The following is an 11567-nucleotide window of genomic DNA, read 5'->3' on the forward strand; positions in this document are numbered from 1 at the left end:
GGAGTGGGGAACTCCTAGTGAGGATACTGGGAGCAATTCCCAAACCCTGCCCTCTCCACCCCTCCCCATCTCTGCCAGCTAAATGTGGGACTCCCCCTGCAGCTTCAGAAACACCATCCCTTCACACACATTTTGTCTCCCCAACCCTAGGGTCAACTCCATGGGAGACCTAAACAACCAGGACACTTGCCGAGGCTAGGCTGGGCATGAGATGCTCAGTGTTAGAGGAAGCGCAGTGGGACCTCCCCGTGGACTCCAAGCTCCCAGGAGGGAAAATGTGTAACAAAGGGAAATGTGAACCAACTGCTGCCCCAAACCCAAAAAAACAAAGGAAAACAAGAAAACAAAACCAGCTACATAAATTGCAAAAAGAATGGAATTCCAGTTCTATTCTACAATGGCATCAATACTGCAATACTTTCATCAAGTTATATAAAGAAAAACCAAGAACATTGGAATAAGAGGAACAGGAGCTTCCCCCATCTTGTCATGTTCAAGTAGTTTGTGTCTGCTCCCCTAGCCACCAACAGTTTTAGCTATGCTATCCCAAGGGCAAGTGCAAGCCTGTCATCCAAGCGTGTAATTCTTGACCCAGGCTGGCCATCTCGGTTGTGGCTTGCAAGTCCCGCTGGCATGTGATTTCCCAAAGGAGCCAGTCTTAGTCCGTAACCCCTTACCCTGTTCATTGTGGAAGTCCGGGGGCCCAAGGGCAGAAAGGGCTGCAGGGATAGCCTCATCAGAGGGCACTCAGGCAATGGAAGAGATGTGGCTGTGTTTCTGCTCTCTGCAGAAGAGAGTCCTGGAGGAGGGCCAGCAGCTGCCCCGGGTGCTGGGGAGACAGCAGAAGAGGGTGGACATCAGCAGGGCCAGGGCGATGATGAAGGTGAGCACCCATCGTAAGACACCCGGGTAGATGAAGGGCCCGATGAGGATAATGAGCAAGGCCAGCAGGAGTAGGTGCGCGGCCAGGCGCCGGGCTGCCACGTGGTTTGCACTTACTTCATCCTGTCCATCCTCTCCCACCAAGCTGGGGTGTCCTGCTGCCAAGTCAGCAGGATCCACCAGCCCCTGAGGACAGAGCGATACCTCTGTGCATGGCTGGGCCAGCTGCCCCACCACCGCCTCATGGTCGCGCAGGCTGCAGATGAGGCCCCCGGGGACGGCGGTGACCTTGCGGCACAGCGGGCAGGTGATGGACCAGGTGTTGTCCTGCACGCACAGCAGGAGCTTCAGGCAGATGGCGCAGAAGGCATGCTGGCAGGCCAGCAGCTTGGGCAACCGGGGACAGCTGTAGGGCTCCCGGCACACCAGACACTCCAGGTCACATTCTGTGGAGCCAGAATGACCCCCAGCAGGGGCCACAGCGGTGGTGGTTGTGGTGGCTCCTGCGGAGATGGGCTGGGACTGTTGCAGGGTCTTGGTGCAGGCCATTCTGGGCACAGGGACCGGTGGGACACTGTCGCTCAGCACCTGGGCATTGGCAGAGAGTGTCAGCTGGCGCCGCTGGGACTTGGATGGAATCTGCCCCTCCTTTTCACTCTGGCCAGGTGCCTGTTGACAACAGCTGTCTGACACTCCTCTCTCCCAGAGCTGCCCAGCTTGTTTCTTGGCTTACGTCGTCCCTTCAGTTATTATTATTTATTTTCTCAAAACCTAGGGTTAATCAGTAACTTGCGGGTCTGGAGACTTTGAATTGCCTGATAGGAGGGCAAAGTGGGCAAGGGTCTAGTGAATCAGGACTTTCCTGTTGGGGCCAGGTACCTGGTGGGTGCCCACAGAACTGTGGCTCAAGCTTTAGGAGGCAGCAGAATCCAACTCTCTCACCCCCACTTCCCAGGTCCCTGAACCTTTTATTAATTTTTTTTATTTAACTTTTTTTTTTTTTTTTGAGACGGAGTCTCGTTCTCTCAGGTTGGAGTGCAGTGGCCCGATCTTGGCTCACTGGCATCTACAAATCTGCACAATAAACAGACAGCCCTATGAGTCGGACATAGGTGGATTGGTGGACACTGCTTTCTCAGACACAAACTTTTGGATGTCAGGATGAGTGGAAAAAAGTTTGTTTGCACTTGGAGCACATTTACAGGCAGGTGGCCTTGGAAAGAGGAGGGGAGAGGTAAGAAAAGTGAGTGGAAGGAGGACAAAGCCCAACCCAACGCAGAAAAACAAAACCACATACAGCGCACAGGTGTTTGGCACCTGCTACTGTATTCATTTCCTTAGAGCCACAGCTGTTGTATTCACAGTTACGGGTGTATGAACTTCCCATCGGTGCCCTGCTGCACACTTCACATGCCTAATCACAGGTGTCCTGTTTTGTGCTAGGCATGCTGCGTATCCAGTAGTACTAAGAACAGCTGCCATTTATTTGGGCCTACTCTAAGCCAAGCCCTGTGCCCGGGGTCCCCAGCCCCCATTTCCCGGAACCCTGATACAGCCTTGTAGGGAAGGCTGGGAAACAAGGGCAGGGTGTGGTCAGGGTAGGCTGCTGGCTGCCTGCCAAGGGGCCTTCCATGGAGCAGGACCTTGTGGAATCTACCAGCGTCCAAGGTCTGGTTGAATCAATTTCATTGGTTCATTTGGACACAACTGGCCCCAGCCGGGTGGCGTAGGCTAAGAGGACTCATGTGAGACAGGCAGATATTAGTAACACAGCAGTTAGGAAAACGTGATTTCCTTACTTTGCCCTCAAGGGCAAATGGCGGGGTGGCATGTGCACTCCCTCAAACAAATGTTTCATTCAGGCCACTCTGAACTCAGAAGCCCGTGTGAAGGATCCTTTGGTGCTCATGTCACCTGCCAAGGGCCACACAGAGTCCTGTGCCTCTGATTCAGCTCTTTCCCTTACCCCAGTAGCTGGCACTGCAGGCCACCCTCTGTGTCCTGGAGTCACCAGCCCCAAAGGGGCTCCCTCCCTTGTGGGATCGGTAACTCCCACCTCCCCACTCCCCCTGGGCCCTCTATCTCTGAAATCCAATACTCTCACCATCCCATCCCATTTCTTCTCAACCTGTAGCTAGACCATCAGTTACCTCTGTGAAAGGAAAATAAATCGTGGGGCCCCAAAATCACTAAGCCACAAGGGAAAGTCAAGCTGGAAACTGCTTAGGGCCAGCCTGCCTCCCATTCTATTCAAAGTCACCTCTCTGCTCACTGAGACAAATGCATATCTGATTGCCTCCTTTGGAGATGCTAATCAGAAACTCAAAAGAATGTAACCATTCTTATCCACCTGTGACCTGGAAGCCCCTTCCCCACTTCAGGTCTTCCTGCCTTTGCTTCAAGTTGCTCCACCTTTTCAGATGGAACCAATGTTCATTTTACATATGTTGATTGATGTCTCATGTCCCTCTAAAACGTATAAAACCAAGCTGTGCTCTGTCCACCTTGGGCACATGTCATCAGGACCTCCTGAGGCTGTGTCACGGACATGTGTCCTCAACCTTGGCAAAATAAACTTTCTAAATTAACTGAGACCTGTCTCAGATACTAAGGTATAGATACACATCTATATCACGTTTTCCCCCAGATCAAGCTGAAGGTGGCCTTGGATCTAGGCATGTTTTTTCCCCCATGCCTAGCATTCTTTCCCCTTTTTTGGGTAACAGTTCTCTGTTTTCACTTTGGGCAACCACTGCTTCCCACCGTCATTCTGTGCTCACGGAGAGGGTGATGTCTGGCTCCAGCTCTCTGGAAGTGGGGCCCTGATACAATTCAGGACAGGCCAGTTAGCATGCTCTGCTCTGCTAGCTGCAGCCATTGGTTTGAGCGTAGGCATATAATCGAAGCCAAGCCAATGAGATTCAATTCTGAGACTTCTGTTGGAGCCCTTGAGAAGTTTCTCTTTGTGCTGGGTTTCTAAGTTAGAGGATGGAACCCTGGGGCTGCCAGGACCACAGTGTGCAGAGAACCTGCTCAAGAGTAAGGTCAGCACAAAAGAAAAATGAGAAAAGAATCAGACAAAGGCCTGATGATGTTATTTGAACACCTGAAGCAGGACACCTAGCATTGGATTTTTTCAAGGATATTAACCTATAAAATCTACCCTGATTTTTATTCTTAAGTCAGTTCAAATTGAACTTCTGTCCCTTGCAAGTGAAAGACCTCTATGTAACACAGCAATGGATGAAGAAAAGAAGCCTTTACTTGCTCTCTGACAAAGGGTCAGGCATTGATGAGACAACCAGACTTTGTACACGGACAAGAGTGACCGAATGCCTGTGTGTTACCATGCTAGAAGAGATTCTGTGTTTTCTCTGCTTGGACTTGCATTGCATAATGTTATTTTCTGTTTGTGAGACCCTAGGATGGATTAGGGATGAGAGGAGAAAAATGTGTTGAGCCACATTCATTTATAATAAGAATAGAAAATCAGGTGGGCCACACAGTGATGTTGGCTTGGCCAGTGTCCCTCTCACTTTTTTTTGAGATAGAGTCTCGCTCTGTCTTGCCCAGGCTGGAGTGCGACCTCTGCCTCCCGGGCTCAAGCGATTCTCTTGTCTCAGCCTCCTGAGTAGCTGGGACTACAGGCGTGTGCCACCACACCCGGCTAATATTGTATTTTTAGTGGAGATGGGCTTTCACTATGTTGGCCAGATCGGTCTCAAACTCCTGACCTCAGGTGATTCACCTGCCTCAGCCTCCCAAAATGCTAGGATTACAGGCATGAGCCGCTTCACCCAGCCGGCCAGTGCCTCTCTCTCTAGCCAGCTTAATGGGAAATCAAATTGTCAGAAGGTAGCTGAGTGAGGTTGAAATCAGACCAAGGGAAGTTATTTGGGGTTAGAGCCTAAAAAATAACCTTTTAACATCATTGGGCAACCACCGTTAAGAAAACATATTGGCTGGAACAACCCAAGTATTACAGAAATAAAGTAGAATGTGAAAGTTCATCTTACTGCAACCCCTGAGAAATGACCACTGTTAACAGAGCATTCCTTCCTGTTGTCCTCCTCCTACCATCTTGGCTTAGGAACAACTTTGTTTCTCAAAAGTGCCTTGCCTTAACTATCACCAGCACTGACTATAGCTGGAAATCTGGCTCCTGTCACTTTACCAGCTATGTGACCTTGGGCAAGAATTTTAACTTCACTGCAGTTCAGTTTTAAAATTTGATAAAATGGAGGCCGGGCACAGTGACTCAAGCCTGTAATCCCAGCACTTTGGGAAGCAGAGGTGGGTGGATCGCTTGAGCTCAGGAGTTCGAGACCGGCCTGGGCAATGAGGTGCAACCCTATCTCTACTAAAAATACAAAAAATAGCTGGGCCTGGTGGTGCATACCTGTAGCCCCAGCTACTTGGGAGGCCGAGGCAGGAGGATAGCTTGAGCCTGGGAGGTCGCAGTTGCGTGAGCCAAGATCGTGCCACTGCACTCCAGCCTGGGTGACAGAGTGACACTCTGTATTTAAAAAAAAGTAAATAAAATAAAATAAAACAAAATGGAGACGTTAACACTTGAGGAAATTATGGATTATTTAAGCCCTCCACCCCTGACTACAACCTGCTCACAGGAGGCTTAGTAATTTATGTACTTTGGGTTGTAACTGACCTAGGTGAAATTGATCTCTTCCAGGGACATGAGATAAGACACTTTGGTGACTGATTCGGCCAATGCTTCTTGAAGAGGAGTGAATATGGGCAGAGTCTGAGGTGGAGCCTGAAGCAGATCTACCCCAGGGGAATTCAAAAGTGTCTCCGGAGACTTAAAATGTTAAATTCATCTAGGTTTCACATTCTTCTCCATGTTCTATTTGTGCTTACTGCAACATTAGAATCCCGAAGCATGCACGAATCCTTCCAAATCTCCAAATAAAACATATTTGTTTGTTTTAATTGCTGTACAAATATGAACTCATTAATCTTGAGTAAAGCTTTTTTTTCTTTTTTCATTTGAAATGCAGTTTCTTCCATCTTATGGCTTCTCACAGCCCTGGGGTCATACGCACTCCATCGTGAGAAACACAGTCTCATGTTGGGGTGAAATTTCAAGCCTAGCTGCAGGCTGGGGAGCCGGAGCCAGTCCAGTTGAGGAAGATCATGTTGGAAATCACATGTGCAAGGAACCACACACCCATGTACCTTTGCAAAAACATGTCTGATCTGAATTTTAGGCCTCCCGTCAAGTCAGAAAGGAGTCAGGTGGCAGCACTGTTCTGAGATCAAACTGTCCACTCATCTTTGGCCTCTGTCCTGATCAGCTGACCCTCACCCCACACTCCAGTGAACACAGGGAGCCAGGTCCCAGCCAAACGCCGAGTTGCTCTCCACTCCTCCTTGCCTTGGGCTGAATGGAAACCATCTCAGCTCACACTCTTGTCCCAGAATTCTCGCCTCTGTGCTCCTTAGAGCATGGCAGGCTCCATCCCTATTTTCAGCCCCCCACCCCCACCCCCACCCCTCACCAAGAATCTGCGTGTCTGAGGATAGATTGCCAAGGAGACAGAAGAAAGGGATCTGGAACCAAAATAACAATAATGAGAAAATTATGACTGTATAGAGAGAAAGACAATGTAACAGAGATAGTGAATGCCTCGGGCACAAACTGCAGGAAGTTGGAAAACTACACTGTCTTTTTTTTTTTTTTTTTTGAGATGGAGGGCACTCACTGGGCTAGAGCTCTGAACTCACCACCGACAGGCAGTCAGTGGCCAAGTCGCTTAACCTCTCTAGGCCTCAGTTCTCTCCGTCTGTGAAATGGACACCTGCCCTGTCTCCTTACTGAGGAGCCAATGAAATGACAGAGGCTTGTGAATGGGGCAGGGGGGCCATTACTACTACTGACCTCACTCCCTGGACTCAAATCTTCCGTCTTTTTTTTTTTTTTTTTTTGAGATGCAGTTTTGCTCTTGTTGCCCAGGCTGGAGTGCAATGGTGCAATCTTGGCTCACTGCAACCTCCGCCTCACGGGTTCAAGAGATTCTCCTGCCTCAGCCGCTTGAGTACCTGGGACTACAGGCATGTGCCACCATGCCCAGCTAATTTTTTTTTGTATTTTTAGTGGAGACGGTGTTTCACCATGTTGTCCAGGTTGGTCTCGAACTCGTGACCTCAAGTGATCCACCCACCTCAGCCACCCAAAGTGTTGCGATTACAGTCGTGAGCCATCGCGCGCAGCCTAAACTGTCTTTTTTTTCTGTTGTTTAAAAATAATTATGTTAAAAAATACACGTTGATTGTAAAAAAAAAAAAAAGGGATTACTGATGAACAAAAAGAAAAAGACATCAGTAATCAGTAATCTCACAGCCCACAGAGAAGGAGAGTTAATTCTGAATATTTCCTTTTAGACTGCTTGTTTCTTTCTTGTTTTTTTTTTTTTTTTAGACAAAGTTTCACTCTAGTTGCCCAGGCTGGAGTGCAATGGCAAGATCTCAGCTCATGGCAACCTCCACCTCCCAGGTTCAAGTGATTCTCCTGTCTCAGCCTCCCGAGTAGCTGGGGTTACAGGTGTCCGCCACAACGCCCTGCTAATTTTCTGTATTTTTAGTAGAGACAGGGTTTCACCATGTTGGCCACGCTGGTCTCGAACTCCTGACCTCAGGTGATCTGCTTGCCTCAGCCTCCCAAAGTGTTGGGATTACAGGCGTGAGCCACCACGCCCGGCCTAGACTGCTTTCTGTGTATACTTCTACAGACCTCCCCCGTACACCCCCGCCCCCACCAAAATGGGAATCTACTATTTACATTTTAGTAATTTATATTTTTACTTAATAGATTATCAGTACATCTCTTTCCATATTAATAAATACATTTCAAATCATTCCTGAAGGTTGTATATTATTCCATCATGTGAATGTACCATATTTTAATTCATCAACTCCTATGAGTTAAATATTTAGACTGTTTCCATTTTTCACTGTTATCAACAGTCCTGTGATGGGTATCCTTGGATGTGCACTTTTCATTTTTGGCCTTTTCAAAATTGTATTATGTATGTTATCTTCTTTCTCTGCCTTTTGGACAGTGGTTCAGGTCTTAAAACTTGGATCTGTGATGACCTGTTTATGAACCTGGTTTAAGCCAGAAGGTTGGAATTATTAGCTAAGCAGCAACAGAAAAAAAAATTTTTGTCCAACTCAGAATTATTACAGTGTACCTACCCCGGAGGTTATAGAAATCAGACGACGAACCTCTAGGACTACATGTTCTTTGAGTTTGGAATAATTCTAGGGTCTGGACCCATTTCCCACTGCCATCTCTAAACTTTCTCATCCCTCCCACCCTTATCTGTGACCTCCTTCTGATTGTTCTCTTAGTTTCTGACCATCTCCTGGGACACATCTGGCCTGTCTTGAAATTCCATTCTTAACTGTTCCCTCAATTCTATGATCCTGACCCTGACCCTGACCCAGCCCTAACCCCTGGCCCTTTCAACACTGTGATATGTATGTCATCTTGTATCTCTGCCTTTTTGGCAGTAGTGCAGGTGCCAAACTTGGATCTAAGCTTAAGGCTAAGCTAGTGGGCAAAGGGAATCCCACCTTTGCACTTGGCCCAGGCTCCAGTGGGAGAGCAGGCTCCCACTTGGCAGAGATGGATCATCTCACCTGGTGTGAGACGTTCTTGTCTTTACCCTCCATAACCTCTTTCCCTCATCCTCCACTGTTTGGATTAAGAATGGGAATCCTGGAAGAGAAGAGTTTTGGGAAGAGTTGTTCTTACTTATTCATGGGAGTAGATGCATGAATAAGATGCATGATATGTCTTTGGCTGACAAATCAAAACATCTGAGGTCTGGGCTTTGTCAGGCACTACTGCCTTAAACCATAGATGATCAACTCTAATCAAACACCTGGCGGAGAGACATTTTTATCTGGAGGAATTTAGCTCATCTGTTCCTCCAGATCAGTACTTCTTAAACTGTGGTTCATGCATCTCTAGTTTTCTGTGAGCTTCTAAAAGGTACTTCTGAAAAAATCTGGGGGTGGGTGAAGAAGAGAGTTCCACAGACAAATCAGTTTGAGAAATAATGCATCCTTCACTTGACCTTGGAGATTCACAATGGGCATTAGAGCATTAAAAGCTTTTAGAAATCCAGCAGTTAAAACACCTGCTTGATTTTGTTTACTCCTGACTTTAATTTGCCTGTGGAACTCTTTTCATACAAAACACTTCTTAATGCTATGTACAACTCTGGGGTTCTGAGAGACACAGTTTAGGAAATGCTGAGGGATCAAGCTAAGCCATTAGAAAGTTGCATTTGACTCTGGGCTTTCTAATCACTCTCATTGAGTTGTATTTTGGGACTATTCTGTTAGCTTCCTTCAAAGGATGCGTTAGGAAATAGGGTTAAGAAAACTGTTACTGCATTTGCCTTCAGGATGTGGCCTGGGATGCTATATGACAGTATTCAGTATCACCTAAACAGAGCATGTGAAAATTTTCTTTTGGGGCCAAGTGTTGGAAAAAGCTTTTTGCTTCCTCTGACTGCAAATTGTGTCTGTTCTCACTACTCAGATATTCTGAACTACATAATTGACTGTTTTCCATTTTTGCTTTGGCCACCAGGAAGCTCAACAATAGCTACCGTGAAATGTCACTTTTTGCATGTGATGCTGCATTCCATCTCCATCCTTTTAGTCTATATTTTCTATCCTAGTTTATAGTTTACCCTCTCCTGGTGCCTGATGTTTGGTTTTTGTATTTATATTTCACTTGAATATATTTCTTTCTATTTTTTTTAAGACAGAGTTTCTCTCTGTCACCCAGGCTGGAGTGTAGTGGCACGATCTCAGCTCACCGTAACCTCCACCTCCTGGGTTCAAGTGATTGTTACGCCTCAGCCTCCCAAGTAGCTGAAATTATAGATGCCCGCCACCACACTTGGCTCATTTTTGTATTTTAGTAGAGACGGGATTTCCCCATGTTGGCCAGGCTGATCTCAATCTCCTGGCTTCAAGTAATCTGCCTGCCTCGGCCTCCTAATGTGCTGGGATTACAGGCGTGAGCCACCACACCTGGCCTCACTTGTGTATATTTCTTATAAACAATTGTGGAAAGAGGAAAGGTAGAAAAAGAAGAAGAAAATAAATAAAGAAGGTTGGGTGCGGGGGCTCACGCCTGTAATCCCAGCACTTTGGGAGGCCGAGGCGGGTGGATTACCTGAGGTTAGGAGTTGGAGACCAGCCTGGCCAACATGGCGAAACCCTGTCTCTACTAAAAATACAAAAATTAGCTGGGTGTAGTGGCACACACCTGTAATTTCAGCTACTCGAGAGGCTGAGGCAGAAGAATCGCTTGAACCCAGGAGGCGGAGGTTGCAGTGAGCCCAGATAGTGCCACTGCACTCCAGCCTGGGCAACAGAGCAACACTCTGTCTCAAAAAAAAAAAAAAAGAAAAAGAAAAAATAAAGAAAAACTCAGAGAAAGAATTGGCAACTATAGGACAGCAGGCAGAGGTAGGGGGAGAGTGTAGGTGTGTAACCTGGCATCCTCGGGCTTTCTCAAGATTAAACCCCTGGGCTTTTGCCTCTTTCGACTCATGCTGTCCTGGATACCGAAAGCTTGGAGACAGCATGTGCCTTTGTGAGAACACTTCTCCACCTGTCCTCTGCTCGTCACATTCCAGGGAGCACAGACCCGGGGTCTGGACTACTGGACCATGTAAAAATTAATCATCCCAAGCATGGTCTTTGATCCATTAAACTGCTATCCATGGTGAAATCAGCCCAAGCACATAAGGTTGCCAAACTAGCCCCTCTTTATTTCCCAAAATGTCCAGTCTTGGCCTTCCCAGAGTTCTCCTGGGAGGAAGACACTCAACTCAAAATAAGAGAGGGTCCTGAGCTCATGGGCTTTGAGTGGAGGGTGGGAGGCTGTTTTTCAATAGACTAGCATATTGGACAGACCTGTCTTCAAATCTTAGCTGTGTGTCTTCCAAGAACCAACTTATTTTGTTTCTTCATCTGCCTAATGGAGATCAAAATAGCGTTTGTGTCAGGAATCTTATTTTGGTTATAAGAGTTGGAAAATTCCACTCAAGCTGGCAGAACCCACAAATAAAGGGCATTTCTTGGCTCATGTGACTGAGAAGTCCAGAGGTGGTTTAGCTTTGGGTGGATTTTGACCACGTGGCTCTTGCAAGAGCTGCCATTTGTTGAGTGCTTCATGGGTTAGTCATTTACTCCCCCTTGGTGAGAAGCGACTTCCTGTGGCTCTTCTGTTGTTTTCTTTCCTGCCTTGATTTCTTTATCTGTAGAAAGGGGATAGTATTGTCTACTTTATAGAATTGCATGAGGCTTGGAGATAATGTGTGGAAAAAGCACCGAACATAGTGCTTGGAGCATAAGAGTTTCTCAGTCAATGCAAAGTTTCTGTATTATTCAGGATCAAGAAGAAAACTTGAGGGAAGATAGAGACCTCCCTGCCCTAGGTCTTCTACCCTTGTCATCTTGGGTGAAGAGGGGACCATGCTTAGTGTCACAGTGCCTCCCAGAAGCAACGTTCTCAATGGGGGTCTGCATGGAGGACAGCACCCTGAGCTCACTTCTCCTTTAGCCACAAGCCATGAGCATGATCATGTGCCCTCAGGGGTAGAGGGAGCCCCAGACACCCAACCCTTGCTACTCCC

The 11567-nt window shown here is 47.3% G+C and overlaps 1 protein-coding gene and 1 long non-coding RNA gene across 2 annotated transcripts, besides 1 other annotated feature; one reads left to right on the plus strand and one right to left on the minus strand.

The window, feature by feature from the left end:
* Positions 1-358: 358 nt before the first annotated feature.
* Positions 359-1613, minus strand: RNF186 (ring finger protein 186). The gene has a single exon (NM_019062.2). The coding sequence runs from the start codon at positions 1429-1431 to the stop codon at positions 748-750; it is 684 nt and encodes a 227-aa protein (NP_061935.1). The 5' UTR covers positions 1432-1613; the 3' UTR covers positions 359-747.
* RNF186-AS1 (RNF186 antisense RNA 1) lies at positions 739-5832 on the plus strand. Its single transcript, NR_186008.1, has 2 exons — positions 739-883; positions 5573-5832. It is a non-coding gene; the product is annotated as an RNF186 antisense RNA 1 (long non-coding RNA).
* Positions 3074-3605: an enhancer, noted in NCBI's record as "OCT4-NANOG-H3K27ac-H3K4me1 hESC enhancer chr1:20143237-20143768 (GRCh37/hg19 assembly coordinates)". NCBI's record gives its function as "activates a minimal SCP1, AML or CMV promoter by ChIP-STARR-seq in primed H9 embryonic stem cells {active_cell/tissue: H9 hESC(primed)}" and the evidence as "EXISTENCE:reporter gene assay evidence [ECO:0000049][PMID:30033119]".
* Positions 5833-11567: the final 5735 nt, after the last annotated feature.

This window comes from Homo sapiens, chromosome 1, assembly GCF_000001405.40.
Source record: "Homo sapiens chromosome 1, GRCh38.p14 Primary Assembly".
Classification (NCBI taxonomy): domain Eukaryota; kingdom Metazoa; phylum Chordata; class Mammalia; order Primates; family Hominidae; genus Homo; species Homo sapiens.